The 24,003-nt window shown below is 37.0% G+C and overlaps 1 protein-coding gene across 2 annotated transcripts in view; it reads left to right on the forward strand.

Moving 5' to 3' along the window:
- Positions 1 to 24,003, forward strand: part of ARHGAP5 (Rho GTPase activating protein 5) — an 82,425-nt gene that overhangs the window by 17,472 nt on the left and 40,950 nt on the right. Inside the window, exon 3 of one of the 2 annotated variants that reach the window (NM_001030055.2) lies at positions 22,365 to 22,512. In NM_001030055.2, coding sequence (NP_001025226.1) covers positions 22,365 to 22,512 — 148 coding nt within the window. The remainder of the gene's footprint in view (positions 1 to 22,364; positions 22,513 to 24,003) is intronic. The other variant, NM_001173.3, reaches the window with a different exon arrangement.

A 24,003-nucleotide genomic window follows, 5' to 3' on the forward strand; every position in this document is an offset into this window, starting at 1 on the left:
ATTGTAACAGTTTACAGTCTTGGATATTTATTAACTTTTCCAGGAAGCTTCTTTGCAGATGGTGGTATACTACCTGAAGGTATACAGAAAGGTTTCTGAAATTTGAATTGCAGAATTCTAAACAAATAGCAAGCATTCTTTCATCTTTTACATTTTCAGTAGGTATTAATCCATCTAATGGTATTAGGCATTTGAAACCTAAATATGAATGCTGTTAAAGTTGTATTTAATAATTTTGACTTTTATTAGATATTTTTCACAGTGGTATTTTAGCAACTTCACTTCTAATACTGTTTGACACTTAATTGCACACAAACTTGTATTTAAGGATTTTATGGCTTAAGATAGCATTCAGTAGGCTTTTATGCTAATGTGTTGGTCATTTCTTCATAGGTTAAGTCCATAATCTTGTAAATTATCAATATTTATTTTCTACAGCTGACTGCTGTTTATCATACCCAATTAAAGGTGTCGATATTTTGAGTAAGCTTATTCTAGGTAATTTTCCTAAATATAGTAACTGCCCATTATAGTTGAATAGAATCTGCTTTATTTTCTAAGTTTAAGTTAAAGTATTACCTTTTTTTGTCGTTAGCAAATTTTCTGGAAAAGGCATGTAAACTTTGTTTTTTTTTTTTTTGTTTTTTTTTTTTTGAGATGGAGTTTCGCTCTTGTTTCCCAGGCTGGAGGGTAGTGGCGCAATCTTGGCTCACCGCAGCCTCCGCCTCCCGGGTTCAAGCGATTCTCCTGCCTCAGCCTTCCTGAGTAGCTGGGATTACAAGCATGTGCCACCATGCCTGGCTAATTTTGTATTTTTAGTAGGATGGGGTTTCTCCATGTTGGTCAGACTGGTCTTGAACTCCTGACCTCAGATGATCCGAGGCCTGCCTTGGCCTCACAAAGTGCTGGGATTACAGGCGTGAGCCACCGCGCCCAGCTGTAAACTTTTAAAATAATACTGATCTAGACTTACAGCACATACTCAACTCATAACATGCTACTCTCTTGCATCTCTTCACACTTAACCTGTTATCACTAGTACCATTTTATCACTGACAAAAACTTTAATATTTTTCTCTTTATTGGTTTATATTACTAAAACTACTTAATGTTTATTAAGAAAAAACACAGCCTTTCCATTTTTAAATTGCTTTTATTTTTGTGTTTTTTTTTCCATTTTTGTTCACAAGCCTAATTGCTTTGGTAACCTTTTATTTTGATGTAATTTCAATGAAAGTTGGAATAGTAAAAGGGGAATCCATATATCCTTTACCCATATTTGCCAATTATCTACATTTTGCCCCACTTGATGGAGCTGTGTGTGTGCGTGCGCACGTGTGTGTGTGTTTTCGTGTCTATTGGTTTGTTTTTTTTTTTAAGCCCTTTGAGATTAAGTTGGAGATAGTGGACTCTTTTTGCTATTAAATATTTCATTGTGTATTTCCTAAGAACAGAAACATTCTCTTTAATAGCAGTAGTACAGTCATATTTTTCCATACTGCTGCATAGTCTTTCTAATTACAGTATTAGTATAATTTTGTATACTTTTAGTCAGGAGGCAGATTTAGGCATTCAGTTGTAAAGTGGTAGAGTTACAGAGACCGTATGAAAAGTAAAGGCTAAAAGCTGATTATTTGAAAAGACTAAAAAATAGAATAGACAAACCTCTGGTAATAGTGATGTGAGAAAAAAGGCATAAATAAGCACTGAATAAAAAGGAGAACATAATTACAGATAGATCAGATTAAAAGATAATAGAGAATACTATCAACAATTCCGTGCCACAAGTTTGAAAGTTTAAACAAAATGAACAAAGTCCTGGAAAAATGTAATTTACCTAAACAAATATGCTTCAAATAATCCTGTAAATATTAAATAAATTGTGAAGTAGTAGTTAAATTTCCTACCAAGGAAATACTAGTTCCAGACAATTTTGCAGATTTTTCAAAAACAGATCATTCCAATGTTACATAAATTGTTTCAGAGAATAGAAGACAAGGGAATACATTCTTAGGTTTATTCTCTAAGTCATCTATCTTTAATTCTAAAACCAGACAAGAATGGCTTAAAAAAGGAAAATTATAGTTCCATTTTACTTATGAGTATACGTGCCAAAGTCTTAAATACAGGTCTACAGACCCTTAACCTCAATTTTGAAATCGACTAACCTCTGAAAACCAAAGATTTAAGAACTTGGCAGCACAACCTGATTTGGCCTATTCTCATTGATGGCAAAACCTGACTTGAATGGATGTAAGTCTGCTTACAATCATTGTTTAGAGTGAGTATCTGTACAGTTCACTGTGAAAACATGAATGTGTTTGAATACTGGATGCTGACACTCAGTTTGCTAAGGTTGTTAAAAAATACCCAGTTTTTGCACCATGCATTATTACTAGTGACTAGAAATGTTTGATTTCTGAAACATAGCTTATTCCAAGGGTTTTAAATAAGGGATTTTGGGGGATTTAATAGCAGAAAAACCTTGAACAGTATGTAAAAGGAAAATCATATCCATGTTGGATTTATATCAGATGTGCAAAGGGTGGCTTTTAATAGAAAAATCTGTACATGTAGTTTACCTCATCAACAAACTAAATGAGAAAAAATACTATAATGACAATAGATGCAGAAGAAAGACTTGATAAAATTTAACAATTCTTGGGAAAACTGCTAAATTAGGAACAGGTAAGAACTTTCTTGAAAACGTGTACACAGACAAGCAAAATTTATAATAAACATCATCTATCATCCTAAATGAGGAAATACATTCCCTTTTTAATCAAAAAGAAGGCAAATAAAACATCACTTCTATTCAGTGTTATATGGAGATCCTACTCAGAGCAAAAGATAAGAAAAAGAAAAGCATGAGTGCTGGAAAGGAAGAAACAAAATTGTCACTATTAGCTCATAATAATGAGTATCAATGTAAAGGCCAAAAAGGATTAGTATTACTAAAGTAGTATTTATCTACTGATAAATTATTAGAGTTAACAAAATAGTTTGATATAAGATCAGTAATCAAAAATAGGTTGCATTTCTATACATTACCAACAGAAAACTAGAGAAAGTAATTACAGAAGACACCATTTATAAAAACATGACAGATTATCAAGTCCCCAGGAATAATTAATGTGTAACCTCTGTATTGGAAAAGTACAAAATGTTATTGAAAGACATTAAAAAGACCTAAATAAATGACAGAGCTATTGCCTTCCTGTCCATGAATATGGCATATCATAGAGAAGTCACTGTTCTTCATACTGAGCTCTAGATTCAGTGTTGTTTCATTGGAAGTTTCAAAAGTTTTTAAGAAATTTCACATGCTGATTTGATAAATGGAAGAGTAAAGGGCTTATTAACAGAATAGCATGGACACTTCTGAAGAAGAAAGGCAGGGTGGAATGGTGGTAGTGTGTATGCTCATTCTATCATATAATATAAAACTTCAAGACAGTGTGTTACTGGCACACAGATAGGCATATCGACCAATATAATAGAGTCTGGAAACAAACAGACCTCTGGTTTACTGCTGTCTCTCAAACATGTTAGCCACATGGGGCTATTGGACACTTGAAATGTGGCTAGTTTGAATTAGGATGCGCTAATCTAAATGGTGAGGAAAGGCCTTCTTGAAAAGTCATTTTTAGTCAGATCTGATAGCTAAATTGTTAACTGGGGGTTGGTGACATAGAATGGAGAATATTTAATGCTGAATACATAGGATGTACATGTGGTGGGAGAGGAACAGTATGTTCTTAAAGGAGGTCAGTGTGTTCAGTCATTGATCTAGGGCAGACATTGATAAACTTTCTGTAAAGGGCCTGATAGTAAATGTTTTAGGCTTTGAGGGTCATATAGTCTGTTGTACCTGGTCACATCTGTTATACTATGAAAGCAGCCATAGACCATATGTAAACCGATGAACATAGCCGTGTTCTAATAAACCATTTTCAAAAAAGGCAGCAGGCTGGATTTGGCCCCCAGGCCATATAATTTGCTGACTCTCTAGGGGAGAGAGTAGTATAAGGAGAGACGAGAATGCAGACCAGACTCTGAGACTAGTTACCAATGTTAGAGATTTTTGTTATTTAGCCTAAGAGTAATTTGAACATAGAGAGTGAATAGATTTCTTTCTTGTGATCACTCGGTTACAGTGTGAAGAATGGGTTGAGTGAGGGCTAGAGAGGCTGTGGAAGACCGTTTAGTATATTACAGTAATCTAAGCGAATCATGATGAAAACTTGGAGCAGCTGGAGTTGGGAGGGAGAGTGTTGGCGATGGAGAATGGAATGGATATGAGAGATACCTAAAACGCATAGGATGTGTTGCATATGGGGAGGTGAGGATAATGAATGAGATGGGAAAAATATCTCCTATGTTTCTAGCTTGTTCAGCTTCATCAGTAATGTGCTGTTCATGATACAGAACATTAGAAATTTGCCAAGTTTGGAGTTGAGGAGTGGAAATTATAACAATTATAACTTTGGTTTTATAGTTCAAGTGGAGATGTCAATCAGGTAGGAAGTTACGGGTCATCGGCAGAAGTCTGAGTTGTAGATACATAGGAGACAGTGAACTAGAAATGGTAATAGATGAAATCTCCTAGGGAGTGAATACAGACGATTGCTTAACACAGACCTTTGAGGATCTGTCAGTGTGGAATGGCCAACTATCAGAGATGGTCCTTAAAAACAGTAGACAGAAAGAATAAACCACTTACCTTTCTTAGCTGGTTCCCTCACCTATAAATTAGGAATTATAATACTTCCCTTGGAGTTGTGGTAGAAATTAAAAATAAGTGTTTCAAGTGTCTGACAGAGCAGTGCTCAATAAATAGTATTATAACGTACATCAGGCCTGAAATACCTCAATATACTCAGTCTGTATCTCAGAACGGTCCTCTGCCCATTTGCTGGATTAGTTTTCTTGACTCATTTTTAAGTTAAATACTCCTATAATTTTTCATTTTAAGTTTATGTGCTTTGCTTGAGCCATAGTTTAGGAATGTTTTCTCAGATTCCTTGATACCTGGAAAACCATAGCTTTTGGGCATTAATGGCATCTAAGGAAGATTCAGATATGTTTGTCTTAAACTGAGCTTCGTTGTCATTCTTACCAATCAGAAGCCTTTAGGTTTCGTTATCTTTTGTTTTATACCCAAATGAAGTTAGTGTTAGTTATGGTAACAAAACCTCTAAGATGTTTTTGATTGTAACTGGCAATGAGAATTATTTTTTAAAATCATGACCCATTATATACACAAATATTTCTACATAATTGAAATGCAATTTCACAAAAGAATACTTAACTTTATTGTACATTGTGCCCTCTGTATCCGTGAGTTTCACATCCACAGATTCCACAAACTGCAGATTGAAAATACTCAGGAAAGAAACTACCAAAAATAACAATACAATAACAAAAATGGATATTTATTTATGAGATGTAATCTTGCTGTGTTGCCCAGGCTGGAGTGCAGTGGTACCATCGAGCTCACTGCAGTCTCAGACCCCTGGGTTCAAGTGATCTTCTCGCCTCAGCCTCCTGAGTAGCCAGGACTACAGGTATTAGCCACCATGCCTAGCTAATTTTTTGTTGTCATAGAGATGGGGGTCTCACTATGTTGCCCAGGCTGATCTCAAACTCCTGGCCTCAAGCCGTCCTCTACCTTGGCCTCCTAAAGTACTAGGACTACGTGTGTGTGCCACCATGCCTGGCTTGATAATACAAATTTAAAAAACAGCGTAGCAACTGTTTACACAGCATTTACACTGTTTTAGGTTATTATAAGTAATGTAGAGATGATTTAGGTATATGGAAGGATATGCATAGATTATATGCAAATACTATACCATTTTATATAAGGGACTTCAGTGTCCTCGGATTTTAGTGTCCACAGAGGTCTTGAAAGCAATGCCCTTCAGATGCTGTGGGACAACTGTATATGTTATTTTGATTTTCTAGTCTATTACAGTGAAAAAAGAAGTACTTTTTTACTTCTTAAAATCTGAATTAATTTAGTAACCTACTAGTGTTTGAAAAGCAGCCCTTTAAGAGAACTGCTTGAAATTTCCTGAGAAAATCTGAGTTGTATTATTATTAATAAAATTGCCAGTTTTGAACACATTCAAGGAGTGTGTTAAACACGTGTGTTTAAGTTGGTTTGATCTTTCTTCAGTATCTATTTTGTCTATTTTATTTTTAGCTTGATTAAGATAAATAGTAAAATACTTGGTGAATTTTATGGTGTATTAGTATAAGCTGGTATTCAGATGATTTTTTATTTTTAACTTCTTTTTAAATTGTTTTCCTGTCTTATTCCAGGCCCTGAATATTTTCCTCCTCTTTATATTAGCAATTACCAACTTGTATTCCTTCTAATCAGTGTTTTTTCTTTGTATTTTACTGCTCCCTTCTTATCTAAATCCACCATCAATTAGTGTCTTAAAAGATTTTGCTGCTTTAGCCACTGTAATGGGGTTTGGAGACTGGCAGAAGAATAAAACCAAAATAAGTATGTTTTAGATAAATGTTAATATGTATATATTGAGTCACAAGGTATTAATCTGATATTAGCAAATCATGACTTCATACCATGCCATTATATTAATATAGTAAATCTTAGGTTTAGCATTGACTTCTGATTTCTAGAACCTCACTCTATCTGTAAATTGTTCATTCCAGTTATAAAAGTAATGAAGTATATGAAAATGTTTCTGTTGTCATTTGTCTATATCAGAATGCATAAGTTATGAGAAAAGCGTGCTTTTTGTTTTTTAGTGTGTATCATTTAACCTCTTGACAGTCATTAGGTTGACAGTGTTCACATCTGAGAGAACCTGATTTAGGTTCTTGAAAGAATTTTGTGAAGGCCAAAAAAAAAAAAAAACTGGGTGTAAAAAGCTTACTATATAGAAAGAGCAGGCAGGATGTAGTGGCTCACACCTGTAATCCCAGCACTTTGGGAGGGCAAGGCAGGCAGATCACTTGAGGTCAGGAGTTCAAGACCAGCCTGGCCAACATGGTGAAACCCGTCTCTACTGAAAATATAAAAATTAGCCAGGCGTGGTGGTGTGTACCTGTAATCCCAGCTACTTGGGAGGCTGAGGCAGGAGAATCGCCTGAACCCAGAAGGTGAAGGTTGCAGTGAGCCAAGATCGTGCCACTGCACTCCAGCCTGGGCGACAGAGCGAGACTCCAAAAAGAAAAAAAAAAGCTTACTATAGGAAGGCAATACTTACAGATCTGATGGGATAGGCTTACACTTTGTTGAATGAGCAAAGATTCTTTATTCAACAAAGTCTTGAAGTGCTTGAAAGTTTCACATTTTCTTTTTTGTACCTATTTTCTGTACCTTGCTTAATTTCTTCAGAGTTGATGTGGAATATTCATTTTATCCATTGTTACCTTGAAAACATCCCCTTAGGGGAGAAAGTGAGAGTCACCTTTGTACAGGAAGTGTGTTCAAAAGAATGAGAAAGGTTTTTTTCTAGACCCTTCAACCAGCATCTTTTCTAGTCTGCCTTGAGTTAGGTCCTGCACCTGTTCCTAACCAATACAGTCTGTCCAGGGTAGTAGAATTATCCAACTGAATTTAGGTCTGACCAGCCTGGGCAACATAGTGAGACACCATCCCTACAAAAATGTAAAATCTCAGCTGGGCATAGTGATGAGCCCCGAAGGATCACTTGAACCCAAGAGTTTGAGATTGCAGTGAACTGTGACTGCACCACTGCATTCTGGTCTGTGCAACAGAGCGAGACCCTGTCTCGAAAACAAAGAAAAATGAGTTTAGGTTTTAGTCTTTATCCTGAGAGCTCTGAGTGAAATTGGCTTTCTGTGAAATTAAGATAATTTCTAAGATAGGAAAACCACAATGTCTACTGCAGGCAAGATTTGTATCTTGTTTATAGTTGATCTCCATGGCCTAGCACAGTACTCTGTGTCATAGTGTGATCAGTTGAAGTCAGCATAAATGTATGGCCTTTGTTTTTGTAAAAGAACTGTTCATGTGTTTAACTACAATTTATTTTGACTCAGGAAAACTCATTTTATTCAACAAGCATTTTGGTAAATGCCTACTGTGCCTGAACACTGTTAGAAACTAATATGGGGATGACTTGGTCATTCATTGGCTCTGCTTTCAAGAAATTCAGTCTAATAAAATTGATTTTGCTGAAAATTAAATATGTTTTATATTTTCAACAAGTTTAGCCAGACTTCTGGTTCTTTCTCATATTTCATCTCATCTGGAAAGAATTTACTTAGGCTTTCTTCAGTACCATTTCTATTGCTTTCTTCCTGGGTAACTGGCTAAATTGATCTACCTGGTTAACTAGATCTGTGATGTTTCTATAATTTCTCATAAAGTTAAAATTTGTTTCTTCAGCATTTTTGGTGCTGGCTACACCAATTTATGATAACATAAGTGTGGATATGTAGTGCAAGTATTTCTGGCAGTATTTTACTATTTGCCATTTCTTTGAATTCTGTGTTGTCCATTTGATCATGATTTATTGCTTTTCAAATTCAGATTGAAATGTAATTAGATGGTTAATTTTTAAAGTATATTTCTGATTTATATATTTTGTTAAGACTTAATTGGAAAGATTATGTCAGTGGCATACATTTTCGCTAATTTAAATTTGGCTTTCTATACAAACTTTTTCTTAGTGTTTATAGCAGCGTACTGAATATTTTGTAAAAGCATAGTACAGATTATTGAAGTTACTCATTTCTGCAGCAGATTAATAGTAAATGTTAAGTATGTGTCAAGGAGGCACTTCTGTAACATAGATAATTGTGTTCTTATGTTAATGGACAGTTGTTACTATTGCAAGACTATAGGTAAATTTATAGGTTTGCCAATTTATGTACACCAAAATTTTGTATACTACAAATTGTGTCAATCCTAGGAGAGGTTTTTTACAGTAGATGCAGTGTTATGATTTCTTGCTCTGTAATGTTTTCCTGTCATCTCAGCTAAAGTGTGGATGGAGTACTCAAGTAAATAGGGCTTAATCTGTGACTTTTAAAGAAGAGAAACCCCAGAGCATAGGAGGGTTGCTTTTTAAAAATAGTAGTAATTTTTGATGTTTAGAATCCTTACAACAAAATATAAGGATATGACAAAAGAGATCTTATGATTGTATCGTAGTCAAAATAAAGGGTACAACTTGCATACATTGTATAACAATTGTTTTGAACTTTTTGGAAATTGTTCTTAGCCTTTGAAAATCTGAGTCAAGGTTTGGGTATTTTCCCTAGAAAAATGCACATGCACAAAATTTTACTGGAGTTTTAACGGTTTCAAATACTTTCTAAAGGCCTGTGGATCCCAGTTTAAGAAACTCCTTGTATAAGATGAGAGGGAGGAGGAAGACACTGAAATTTGGGGAAGCTGGGTAGAAATCCACCCATTCACTTGAATAGTTAGTTGCTTTGCTAGAACTTTCTCCAAGTGACTCCAGGTTTATTTTTTGTTAAGTTGTTAATGGCATTAATAAAATATCTGCCACATATATAATATATGTTGAAATGCTTTTTAGGAAGATGTTATCTTAGAGAATAAAGGTTCCTGAGTCAAGGTTAAAATTAGTTTGCCTGATAAGTATGTACAAAAACCTAGACCACATTTATTTACTCTGTTGTTTTTTATTTCCTCTTTTCACCTAGTGTTAGCATAAAGGGTGTGAGAGAGTCTTCACAATGTAAGTTTTCTGAAGTGTGTTTGGACTTTCAGCCAGCACTTACGGCTTTTATAGGCTTAAAAAAGGGATTAAATAAACCTTTAGAGTGCTGGGTCCCCTGAAGGCTTCTTTCTTACACCAGTGTGTTAAACTATAATGTAATGCTGCTTCTCACTGCCTGATCACTTTATATTGTAGTTTAATTTTGTTTTTCTATGTTATAACCTTTCTGAGGGCAGTTATGGTTATCATTCAACTTTGTATAACCTGCAGTATTGTTTCTCAGTCTTGAGTCGTGTATGGACCTTTTTTAAAGTTAAAATTCTCAGGCTTTTCAGAAATATATCTGTAGCTATTTCCCAAACTTGAGTTATTGGTCTTTGTTTTTACTAGTCTAGCACAGTGGCTATCAACCAGGGTCAGTTTGGCCCTCCAGGAAGCATATGGCAATGTCTAGAGACATTTTTGGGTGTCACAACTGGAAGTAGGAGGTTGCTGCTGGCATCTAGTGGGTAGAAGCCAGGGTTACTGCTAAACATTGAATTGCTAAACTGAATTGCAGAATTCACAGGCCATCTTCCACAACAAAGGATTATACAGCCCAAAGTGCCAATAATCTTGAAGTTGAGAAACCCTGGTGTAGGAGACTATGTCTTGAAAAAAATGTCTATGCAGTTCTAGAAGTCAGTCATACAAGGCATGTTTGTATCTGTTCAATAAGAAAGGTAGGGTTTTCCATATAGGTCATAGCGTTTTCTTCCCCAGCCTCACCGTGATTGGGTAAGAATATATTTTCAGGATTATGTTAACTGTGGGCCAGAGCTACATGCTATTGTCATTTATCATACTCGACTGTTTATCATTCATTATTCTGCTATAAAATGTGTTGCTTCCGTTCCATTTTCATACTAGTTGAGGTTGTCATTATTTCTTACCTGCATTATCACAAATACCTTTTTTAAAGAAATAAAGATTCTATTTTGAGCTAATTGTTGATTCATATGCTATTGTTTTTTTTTTTAAAAAAAAGAGAGACCCCATGTGCTCTTTGCCCATTTTCCCACAATGGTAATATCCTGCAAAACTATAGTACAATATCACAGCCAGGGTGTTGACATTAATATGATCTACAGATCTTATTCAGATTTCCCCAGTTTTACTTGTACTAATTTGTACATGTGTATATTTTGTTCTTTGCAGTTTTTCATGTGTATAGGTTTGTGTGTCCCTCCCATAGTCAAGATGTAAAACAGTTCCATCCACTAGCAAATTAACTTGTTTTGTCTTTTTATAACTACATGCTTTTCCTTCTCCTCACCCATCCCTAACCACTGATAGCCACTACTCTGTTTTTCATTTCTATAATTTTGTCATTTCAAGGATGTTATATAAATGGAATCACAGGGCATATAACTTTCTGGGATTGACTTTCATTTACCATAATGCCCTTGAGATTCAGCCAAGTTGTTGCGTGCATCAACAGTTTGTTCTTTTTATTGCTGAATAATATTCCATAATATGGATACATCAGTGTTTTAACCTGTTGAAGGACATCAGGTCGTTCCAGTTTTTGTCCATCTTGAATAAAGTTGTCATGAACATTCGAATACAGGATAAGAAACTGCCAAACTGTTTTCCAGAATGGGTATACTATTTTATTTATTTATTTATTGAGATGGAGTCTCACTTTGTTGCCCAGGCTACAGTGCAGTGGCGCGATCTCAGCTCACTGCAACCTCTGCCTCCCAGGTTCAAGTAATTCTCTGCCTCAGCCTCCTGAGTATCTGGGATTACAGATGCCCACCACCACACCTGGCTAATTTTTGTATTTTTAGTAGAGACGGGCTTTCACCATCTTGGCCAGGCTGGTCTTGAACTCCTGACCTCGTGATCCACCCGCCTCAGCCTCCCAAAGTGCTGGGATTACAGGCATGAGCCGCTGCACTCGGCCTGGGTATACTATTTTAAATCCCTACTGGCAATGTATGATGGATCCAGTTTCTCCACATCCTCACCAATATTTGTGGTGCAGCAACTTTTTAAATTAGGTTTCCGTGTTCCATTCACCATTTTTTTCAAACTGTTATTTATGTTGCTTTCTGGGGGGCAGTGCTAAAATAGAAGTGCCTGATCCCTGTCCGTACAAAGTGTATTTGTAACCTCTGTATAAAGTTCCAAATACGTGAGTTAGGCATCTAAAGCCATTTGCAGTATGGCCTTTGCTGACCTTTTAACCTTATTCATTCCCACACGTACTCTTAAGCTCCAGGTACATCAAAATAGATGGAAAATAGTAGCTGGCTCAGAGCTGTTGTGAAGATTAAGATTATGCACATAGTATTAACAAGTGCCTAATAGATAGTAAGCAGTAAATAAATGGCAGTTTCTGGTGATTTCATAGTCTTCATCCCGACATATAGTAGGCACCCAAATGTTTAGATGAGTAAATGACTTACGCACTAGATCCTTTCTAACTTCTGAAAATGTCCCTGACCTCATCCATTCCTATATAAGTTCTACCCTTTGAATCCAGATTTAAGTCTTAAATTTAGTTATTTTGACATTTAATCGCATATTATTTTGTATGTGCTATTAATGACTGGTAGCGAGGTGTTTTTTCATTATAACAGACTATATGTTTCTCAAGGGCCTTAAATTCCACTGATTTTTAATATCCTTTACAGCAAACTAACATGCTATGCACATAGTATAGTAATTTCTTCAGTTCTTACAGACTGTTGAAAGTACACCACCTTTTTTCCAAGTGAATTCACATACAGTTGGCTATTCTTCCTGTAACTTGATGATGTGAGTAATCATTATTTCATATGAATCCTGATTAGGTTAGGATGCTTAAGCTTAGACATACCTGTCTAGTAACTCCTATAGGAATGAAGAATTAGGTAAATGAAACTGTTACCATAAATGGTATATAAGCCAATAGTACTTCGTATATTAACAGAAATCTTATGTGTGAAGGCTTTCCTCTGGTGCCTGTTTTTAGTTGTTTGCTTCTGTCAATGTTTACTGAGTATCTACCATGTGCTGTATATATTGTGCCAGTTACAGGAACCAAAAGGAAATGTGACCAGATTTTAAATAGTATTTTGGAAGTTGTACCAATAGGGCTTGTGATATATTTGCTGTGGAGAGTAAAGGAAAAGAGAAAACCAAGGTTGACTCCTAGGTTTATGGTTTGAGCAGTTGGGTAGATTTACTAAGATAGCAAAGACTAAGGGTGAAAGGATTCAGACTAGAAAGAATAAAGACAACTGCTTTTTATGTTTAAAATATCTGTGTTGACAAATGAGTAGAAGTATCAAAGTCTAAAAATTAGATGTATGAGTCTGGTACTCAGAGGAAGAGTTATCAGGATGTATAAAGGATTTAAAGTTTTGGGATTAGATAAATTCACATAAGGGCAGAGTACAGCTAGAGAAGAAGGGAGAACTCACAACTGAGTTTGGGTAGAAGAGTTGTTGGTAGATGAAACTGAAAGGAAATCCTTAGTGGGAAAAGAGAAAAGCTAGTGAAGAGTATGATATGGGAGCTAACAGATCAAGTGTTTAGGGAGGAAGTTCAAGAAAGAATGTTGCTGAGAGATCAAGGATGAAGAAAAAAGTTTCTTATTCATTTGATAGTATCTGGTCGTGACAAGCGGTTTAAGGGAATGGTAGGGAAAGCCAGATGGAAGTGGGTTGAAGAGTTACTGGAATGGGAAAAGTAGAGACAATGGATGTAGATGACATTCAAGAAGTTTCGCTGTGAAAGGGAGCAAGAATTGGGGCAGTAACTAGAAGGCAATGTGGGATCAAAGGAGGGTTTTTGTGTTTGTTTTTAAAGATGAGAGAGATTGGAGAGTATATGTTCATAGGAGAGGGACAAATTGATGCTATAGGAGAAAAGTGATGGGGAATAGGAGTGATTCTGAAGGAGAAGAAAGAGAGGAAGGAGAATCAGGATTTAGGTAATGTGTAATCCTGTGATCAGGATTTAGGTACTGCAGTTATTATAGAGGGAAAAGATGAAATAGAGTAGGGTTATAGTTAGATTGGTCCTGGCAATAATATGAGGGAGTTCCTATTTTTTCTGCTTCTCAATTAAATGTGATTTCAGGCCATTAGGAAGGGAGAGGAAGGTAGGTAGTGCCTGTATTACTTGGGTTTTTTTAATTTCAGAATATGCTGGGATATGTGGAGAGTCTCAAGTATGAGACAGTATAAAGGGACCAGAGGAAACTCAGGTTGAAAGTCATTGGAGTAAAATATGATTTTAGATCTCTTCCCTTTTTGGAAAGAGAAGGATTAAAATTTATATAATTTTTGCTATACTTACATGAATATAAATGATGTTATAGAAATGGGATTATACTGTTTATAAGACTTAAAATTTATCTGGTGTATGTGTGAATCTATTAAAATCAACATTCAGTGCTTATTCTTAATTTGGGCATACTTGACCTGACAAAGTAAAGGAGATCCTTTAAAATTGCTAACTCTTGGTTTCCATAGAAGTTTACTTATTTCTGCTATAATTTGTTGCTGCTTGATAGATTGAATTCTAGATCATTGTCAAGTGAGTTTGCTTGTATGGTTAAAGGCTTTTTGCCTTAGCAACTCCAATGTTAATACTGCTCTTTTAAAATATACATATATATTACTTAACTCTTTGGAGTCCTTTGTTTAAATGGCATGTGGTTGGTTGGGTTTACTTTTACACTAAGCCCGAGAATCTTTTTGTTGTAGTTGATCCTGTTACATTTATATTTATTTTATAAATTTTGGCTTCCTTTTTTCTTGTTTTCTAGTTTTTATTCTTCATTAGCAAAGAAAAAAAGAAAAAGGAAGGAGCTATTAATTTATGTACTTCATATTTTTATCTTTGAATATATTGAACTCCTATTTCAGTTTACCATCTTTATTCCACCTCCCAAATAGTATATTATTGTACCTGTTATGCAGTAGTGTAATTATATTATCTCTCATATCTCATTCGCTCGTCTCCCTTTATATAGGGTAGGTTGAGGCTTTTAGTTCTGGCCTGTTATCAGATTATTTTTACATTTTATAGCTTTACCTACAAAATTATAAATTATATTAATAGCCATACCACTGTTAATTAGAATTAGTTTTACAATATTCATTGTTCACTGTTACATTTTTCATATCATAAATTCTCCAGTGTAAGTTTTTTTTAGTTGATTTTGTATCATGTGGTTAAGATTTTTCAGGCGTTTGAAACTATTATAATTTAAATATAATTATTACATATTTGCAAACTTTTTAAAAAAATGTGTAAGTTGCGAGTTATACATGCCTAAATGACATACTGGCTAAGAATTCTTGACACATGTTTCCCGTGAACATTCCTGTAGATGAGTCTTCTGGCTTCCAGTTTTCCGGAGAACTCTGAGGCTGTCCTGCTTTTTTTTTCCCCCCACTGTTGGTCATTTGTTTCTTCTGCCTGGATGCTTTTAAGATTCTTTGTAGCTTACCAAGTTCAGCATGATATGCCCTTAACTTGTTGATTCACTCTTATTTGTTGTTTATTTTTCCTGGTACATAGTAAGGTCGTTTAATCTACAAATTAAGCTCATTATTTTAGAAGAGACCTCAAGTATCTCTTTCTGGACCATTTGTACTAATTTATTTCATAGTGTTCCAGATGTTTGAGGTATGTTGATGAACAAAGCAGATAAAAATTCCTGCCCTTGTGTAGAGCTTAAATTGTAGCTGGGGAGATAAAAAAAAAAAAAAGATGATACGTGAGTAGTTACATAGTGTTGTAGAGAGAAAAGGCAGGGTAAGAGGAACAGAGTACTGGGGAGGGGCTGGGAAAGACAGCAGTAGGATTGCTTTTGCTTTTTTTTTTTTAAGAGATGGGATCTTGCTGTGTTGCCCAGGCTGGAATTTAAACCCCTAAGCTCAAGCTGTCCTTCCATCTCAGCCTCCCAAGTAGCTGGGATTGGATTACAATTTTTAATAGGGTGGTCAGTGTAGGCCTCATTGAGAAGGTAAAGGGAACGGCCACTACAAAAGTGCAAGGCAGGAGCATTCCTGGCATATTAAAATAGCAAGGAAACCATGTGACTTGAGGAAGGCGTAAATGATGAGGGAAATTAGGTCAAAATGTAAAGGAGCGGAGTCCAAGGCATGCAGATTGTACATGTCTATTCAAGGAGCCAACATTCTAGCTCTCTGTAGAGAATGGCCTGTAGGGAATGATGGTAGAAGCAGGGGATATTAAGCAGGTGATGCAGTAATCCATATATGTGAAATGATGATAGCTTTATGGGCCAGGGAGTTAACAATGAAGATGGTAAAAAGTAAGTAGATTCTGTATCTCTCCATTTGCTTAACAGTTGGAAGTAGGGTATGAGAGAAAAAGGAGATAGAGGATGACTCCAAGATTTGTATTCCAAGCAACTGAAAGGATAGAATTCCCAAAAACAGATGGAGAAGGCTGCAGATAGATTACATTTTAAGGAAAGCATGAGAGGTTTTTCTTAGACTTTAAACTGATGTTGTTAGGGTGTTTTACATTAGTTTAGGCTTCAGGAGAAAGAGCTGCGCTGGAAGTAATAATTTAGCTTATCAGCATATAGATGATGTTACCAAGAGGGTGAGTATAGATGGAAAAAAGAAGACAATCAGAGCCTGGGGCTGTGGCTCAACCTGTAATTCCAGCACTTTGGGGGACCAAGGCAGGAGAATTAAGGCCAAGGTGTTCAAGGCTACAGTGAACTATAATCGTGCCACTGCACTACAGCTTGAGTACAGAGCAAGATGCTGTCTCAAATAACAGCAGCAAAAGACAGTCAGAGACTGATGAGGATATTCACAACATTACAGTGTTGATCAGGAGGGACCAGAAAAGGAGACTAAAAAGGGGAGAGCAAGTAAGATAACAGGGGTGGTCTCTTTAGAAGTCCAGTGAAGAGACTGACTGCTGAAAAGTCAAGATGAGAACTGAGAACTAATTATAGAAAACAGTCTTTGGTGACCTTAATAAGAGCAGATTGATTTAGTGGAGTTTTGAGGGTGATAACTAATTTGAGTGCATTTGGAATGAATGGAAGGAGAGGAATTGGCGACATCTTCTATAGATTATTTGTATATAGTTTGTCTGCAAAAGGGAGTATAAGATTGAGACTTCTTTTTTAAATGAGGGCAAAACCCAGTGTTTTGTGGTGTGTATAATAAGAATGATATAGCAGGAAAAGGAACTCTCTGATGGTCTTTTCCATTTTATTTTGATCTTTTCAATTATATTGAATCTTTTATTTGCTACTTCTAAGCAGGTTTTTGTTTCTGTGATGAGTTTTTTCTTTCAGTTTATTTACATTTCATCTGTTGTCACGCTTCTTCTTTGATTTTTTTTTTTTTTTTTTTTTTTGACAGAGTCTCGCTCTGTTACTAGGCTGGAGTGCAGTGGCACGATCTCAGCTCACTGTAACCTCCCGGGTTCAAGTGATTCTCCTGCCTCAGACTACAGGCTCACGCCACCATGCCCAGCTGATTTTTGTATTTTTAGTAGAGGTGGTGTTTCACCATGTTGGCCAGGATGGTCTCGATCTCCTGACATTGCGATCCGCCCGTTTCGGCCTCCCAAAGTTCTGGGATTACAGGCGTGAGCCACCACGCCTGGCCTCTTTGATTTTTTTAATTTCAAGAATCACATGTAAGAAAATAGAGATCCAGTTTTCTTGTTTCCACAGCTGGTTCTTTGAGAGCCTAGTAAACTGCATTTCACTGCTCAAGTTTTGTTCAATTTTTGGTTACTGGTGAAGCATTTGAGGTGTTTGGTTTTTTAAAAATGTTACTGTAGTATTTATTTGAAGATGTTGCTGAGGTGACCCTTTGTGTTGCTGGTATTAAGTAGGAAGAGCAGTTTCTGGAAAGGGCTGTTTTCTTCTTCCTAGTCATGTTTACGTATACAAATGAGAGTTTTTAATATGTTGGACACTTAAAGAGATGTAATTGCTGAATGGAATGTTTGTTTTACTGTGATGTGCTTTTGCAGATAAGAAATTCACTTAAGTGGCTAGAAAAAAGACGGCATTTGCATTTAAGTAGAAGTTCAGATATGAATGAATGTAGTAATGAATCAAAAATTGGATTTTCGGTAGGGCGCGGTGGCTCACGCCTATAATCCCAGCACTTTGGGAGGCCAAGGCGGGCAGATTACGAGGTCAGGAGATCGAGACCATCCTGGCTAACGTGGTGAAACCCTGTCTCTACTAAGAATACAAAAAAATAGCCGGGCATGGTGGCAGGGCTTGTAGTCCCAGCTACTCAGGAGGCTGAGGCAGGAGAGTGATGTGAACCCGGAAGGCGGAGCTTGCAGTGAGCAGAGATGGCGCCACTGCACTCCAGCCTGGGCAATAGAACAAGACTCCGCCTCAAAAAAAAAAAAATTGGATTTTCATACTTCAGAATTTGTTTTCCACTGGCCCAATTATTTTATTAGAGGTACCATTTCTAACTAAAGGTTTATCAAAAACTAGATATAAACAATAAAATACCATGCTACTAATTTTTCTCTTACATTTCAGAACTTTGATGGCATTTTATAGCAATTGTAATTATCTAGTCTTAGTTTATGAAATAGGTTTCTAGTTACATAAATCATTTTGAGTTGTTACAAGTTTATAGCTACACATCAGGAACTCTCAACCAAAGGGTGCTTATCAGAATTTTGTGGAGAGTTTTTCAAAAGTCACATGTTTTAAAAGAGCACCTTGAAGCGTAAATGATTAAGAACTATCACTTACAGAAAAAAGGAATCGTATACATTTTTGTTCATCACAAAAGCTAGTATAGGAGTGTCTAATCCAAAACTTTATTTTTCTGCATAGAATTTTCCTTTGTAGCAGTGTCATTAATTAGTGGAAAAATTAGAAGTCACATAGGCTCCCCTCCCCTTGTTATATGTATGGATTATAATTTGACTGTCAGAGCAGTTCTTTATTTCTAAAGTATCCCTTTTGAATTGGCCAGAAGTTCCTTATATAAGCTACTTAGCCTTTCATTACATTAGATTGCTAGCTCTGAATCTTGGTGTAACTGCAGATTTAAATAATTTGCCCTTATAACTTTATGGACCTTGGGACGTATTTACTGGCATAAGCCAGAGAATCTATAATTTTGCTTTCCTGTCACAACCCCCAATTTTATTTTAATTAAGTATTCAGGGCTGTCTGGATAAGGTTGAGACTTCACTTTTTCCTCTTTCCTGTGACCCCACAGACAGGGATAGGATTATTTCAGAATCATTGGAAAGTTTAAATTGACTCCTAAATGCTAGTGCTAAGAAAAGGAGTTAAGAGGTGATTGGAACATTTAGAGTTGGCTAGCTAGTTTGTTTTTCTTAAAACTTTATATTCCTCAGATGGTATTACAGACTGTTAAGATCCCTTCCTTCCTGTTGTTCCCACCATAGTCTAGGCATTGCCATTTTCATTAATCTACCTAAGTGTAGGCCAGGCGCAGTGACTCACGCCTGTAATCCCAGCACTTTGGGAGGCCGAGGCGGGCAGATCACGAGGTCAGGAGATCGAGACCATCCTGGCTAACACGGTGAAACCCCATCTCTACTAAAAATACAAAAAATCAGCTGGGCGTGATGGCACACGCCTGTAGTCCCAGCTACTCGGGAGGCTGAGGCAGGAGAATGGCGTGAACCCAGGAGGCAGAGCTTGCAGTGAGCTGAGATCACGCCACTGCACTCCAGCCTGGGCCACAGAGCTAGACTCCGTCTCAAAAAAAAAAAAAATCTACCCAAGTGTAATCTCTTTTACCACTGCATTTATCTCCAAACAGAAAACATCTGCTTCAGTTTTCATTTTTCTAATCAAATGATAATATAGCTAATAGTTGGTAGGCTGCAATGCACCTTTGTGTTCCTGAGAAAGAAAAGAACTCAGCCAGTGTACCCCTGCCTCAACTTTGAGGTTATAGTCTCTTCATTTCCACTTCCTTGCACGTTGTTCTGTTTTGGTGGTGGTCGAAGTGGAGGGATCATTTAAGGAATAAGGATCCACACCACTTGACTTGCCCTTGGCTTGCTGAGTTAGGTCTTGAGCCAGAAACAGACACTCCAATGCCCCCTTGATAACATTCCAGACACCTAGTTGTGTTTGGTTTAATCTGCACTTAACAGAGTTGCATATAATCTGCATCACCAGAGAATGATGGTATAAGAGGATTTAGAAGTTAGGTTTCATGAGCTCTGAGAGTTTGCTGGATGGAGTGACCTGAAATTGAAAGGATTTAATTAAGTATTTAAGATATTTAAGATATTCAGAGACTCAGAAGAATACATTGAAGTATGCATTCAAAAGACAGACTTCCAGAAATAATGAGAAACTAAGATGAAGACTATTGTTTTCAGGCATTGAAAGCCCTGCCTGTGCGCCTTCCCCTGCCCACACATATACATTTTTCTGATTAAAAATGATACCTTTTTGTCCAATTTGAAAACCAGTACGACAAATATGACAAATATTAATGGATTTGTGATTTATGCCAGAGAAAATAAAAATTTGTGGATTAAACTGAAAAACCAACAAGGGCTGTCAATAAAAGTGGCCTAATATCCTCTGAATTTCTGAAAACTTGCCCATCTTTGTATACTTCAGAAACTCTCAATGGGATGTGCACAGTAGAGTCATCTGTAGGAATCGTTGCTATACCCTGCTCTAGAGAGTGAATCAGAATCTCCTCAGTAGTTTGATTCCCAAAAATACTTCTTTAAGTTTTTGAGATGTTCATTCTTTGGCTAAGAATCATTTTCCCTCTAATGCTACATTGAAGTTAAACTGTGAAAATTCTTACTTAATTTTGTCTTTTTACTATCCTGAAAATGTTTTGTACATTACTTATGAATGTTATCCTAACATTTAAGTAAGCATCTGGCCGGGAGCGGTGGCTCATGCCTGTAATACCAGCACTTTGGGAGGCCAAGGCGGGAGGATCACGAGGTCAGGAGATGGAGACTATCCTGGCCAACACGGTGAAACCGCGTCTCTACTAAAAAAATACAAAAAAATTAGCCGGGCGTGGTGGCGGGCACCAGTAGTCCCAGCTACTCAGGAGGCTGAGGCAGGAGAGTGGTGTGAACCCGGGAGGCGGAGCTTGCAGTGAGCCGAGATCGCGCCACTGCACTCCAGCCTGGGTGGCAGCCAGACTCCGTCTCAAAAAAAAAAAAAAAAAAAAAGCATCGGCTGGGTGCTGTGGCTCATGCATGTAGTCCCAGCACTTGGGGAGGCTAAGGCAGGTGAATCATGAGGTCAGGAGTTCGAGACTAGCCTGGCCAACATGGTGAAACCCCATCTCTACTAAAAATACAAAAAAAAAAAAATTAGCTGGGCTTGGTGGTGCATGTGGTGTGGTGGCAGGCGCCTGTAGTCCCAGCTACTTGGAAGGCTGAGGCAGGAGACTTGCTTGAACCCGGGAGGCGGAGGTTGCAGTGAGCTGAGATTGCGCCACTGCTCTCCAAGCTGGGTGATAGAGCGAGACTCCGTCTAAAAAAAAAAGCTACTGGGCGCAGTAGCTCATGCCTGTAATCCCAGCACTTTGGGAGGCTGAGGCGGGTGGATCACAAGGTCAGCAGATTGAGACTATCCTGGCTGATACGGTGAAACCCCCGTCTCTACTAAAAATACAAAAATTAGCTGGGCGTGGTGGCGGGCGCCTGTAGTCCCAGCTACTCCGGAGGCTGAGGCAGGAGAATGACGTGAACCTGGGAGGCGGAGCTTGCAGTGAGCCTAGACCCTGCGCCACTGCACTCCAGCCTGGGTGAGAGAGCAAGACTCCCTCTCAAAAAAAAATAAATAAATAAGGCTGGGCGCGGTGGCTCACACCTGTAATCCCAGCACTTTGGGAGGCCGAGGCGGGTGGATCACGAGGTCAGGAGATCGAGACCATCCTGGTTAACACGGTGAAACCCGTCTCTACTAAAAATACAAAAAAATAATTAGCCGGGCGTGGTGGTGGGCGCCTGTAGTCCCAGCTACTTGGGAGGCTGAGGCAGGAGAATGGCGTGAACCCGGGAGGCGGAGCTTGCAGTGAGCCGAGATCGCGTCACTCCACTCCAGTCTGGGCGACAGAGTGAGACTCCATCTCAAAATAAGTAAATAAATAAAATAAAAATAAAAAGCATCAGTAGGCAGGAAGAAAATGGAAAAATAAGGGACAAATGATGGAACTAACGGTTCATGGAGTTATATAGCATCATTATGCAATCAATAATTAGAGCTCTTACGTTCTTACAAATATAGATAGACACAGAAAACTCACTCGGACCTGCTTCAAGAGACCAAATGAAATTAATATATCACACCTAAACTGAATCAGGTATTGCTTGCCCCTAGTTTGTCCCTTGTGTTGGCATTGAAAAGTGATATTTTCTATTCTCTCCTGACCTATCAAGTCTGTTATTTTCCAAAGAGAATATTTTCTTTCAATAAGCCATTTTTTTTTCTGTTCACTTATGTCTCCAATCAAGTTGCTACTTCTGGCAAAATTTATTTAGCGAGTCATATTGGTGGACATTTAGGTTGGATGTGGCTATAAAATTTTTCTTTTGATCCGAACCGTGTATTTACATTGCTCATTACTATTATTCTGAAATTAATTTTAATAGTGTTAACTTAAATATGTTTTCTTATAGCAGAAAAAGAAAACTAAGAACTTCAATCCACCAACACGTAGAAATTGGGAAAGTAATTACTTTGGGATGCCCCTCCAGGATCTGGTTACAGCTGAGAAGCCCATACCACTATTTGTTGAGAAATGTGTGGAATTTATTGAAGATACAGGTAGGATAGAAGAATCATTGCAAGAGATTTGATTTTAAATTTCACTTTTGATACACCAACAGTTTGTCAAATGTTTGTGATTTGTTAATATAGTTCTCATTATTAGGATTATTTAGTATTAACTCCATCTGATCAGGTAACCATCTGATATTTGAAAGAAGTTTTTGTTGTTGACCAGTAATGCTTTTATTGGACTTCTCTTGAAGTAATAAATGGCTAAGTTGAATACTAAAATGTTAAACTTACCTTATTCTGGAATTTAGAATAACTTTATTAAGTTATGCTATTTAGTGAAGAGATATAGTTATGGTTTGAATAGTGTGGAAGTTTTCCATATTTTTAAGTGCAATGCTGTTTACTTTCATTACCCATTTTACACATGGATTTTTCTTTTAAAACTTACAGCAATAGTTGTAAATGCGTAAAAGGCAGCTTGTTCTATTTGTGATGCTACTATTTATTCAGTTCTAGCTTGACATGGTTTATATGATTTGAGTTGTATTTTTAAAGAATGCATAGATATCCTCATTATTTTAAAAACAAGCCTGCTCTTATGTTTACTTTGCCTAATGTAATCTCAAAACTAAACAAAATAGGCAAGTTAAAGGTGGAAAATAGGGACAGAATATTGTTGTTTTTGAGTGCATTTAAAATGAACACGAGTTAACCATGAAACCTTAGTGACTGAATGTACTACACATTTTAATGGCTTGAAAACATGAGCTAAGTCAGTTTTGGCTTTGTTACTAATGAACCCTTGATAGATAAGCATTGTTTAAAAAACAAAGTAGGATACTCTTGTTCTCGCTAAAAAATCATGCTCATTTTTCACATGTACACCTTGCCCTTCGGTTTATCAGCTAAGTTGTATATATATTGAGTTATCTATTTGGTAAGGAATGTTGACACTTTCAGTCTTAATGAGAGGGTAGAATGTGCAGTGGCTCATGCCTGTAATCCCAGCACTTTGGGAGGCTGAGGCAGTCGGATCACAAGGTCAGGAGATCAAGACCATCCTGGCCAACATGGTGAAACCCTATCTCTACTAAAAATACAAAAATTATCTGGGCATTGTGGTTTGTGCCTGTAGTCCCAGCTACTTGGGAGGCTGAGGCAGAAGAATTGCTCGAACCCAGGAGGTGAAGGTTGCAGTGAGCCGAGATCATGCCACCTGCACTCCAGCCTGGTGACAGAGTGAGACTCCATCTCAAAAAAAAAAAGAAAGAAGAAATTCCATTATCCACTAGCTTTGTAGTTGAAATGGCATGTGTCTTCTGCCTTCAGTTAATAAGTGTTAATTTATGGAGGCTACATTTGAATATGCTCTTTATCATTTATTTTTCCCTTCAGCAAATACTTGAGAAGTGTTATTAGAAAAATTTCTTGTCTATATTTCTGTCCACCTTTAATGTAGCAGAAATGCAAATGTTCTTAAAATATTAGCTTCCTGCTTTGGATTTAAAGAATTCTCATTTTCTCTAGTATTATAAT

This window comes from Homo sapiens, chromosome 14 (genome assembly GCF_000001405.40).
Source record: "Homo sapiens chromosome 14, GRCh38.p14 Primary Assembly".
NCBI lineage: Eukaryota > Metazoa > Chordata > Mammalia > Primates > Hominidae > Homo > Homo sapiens.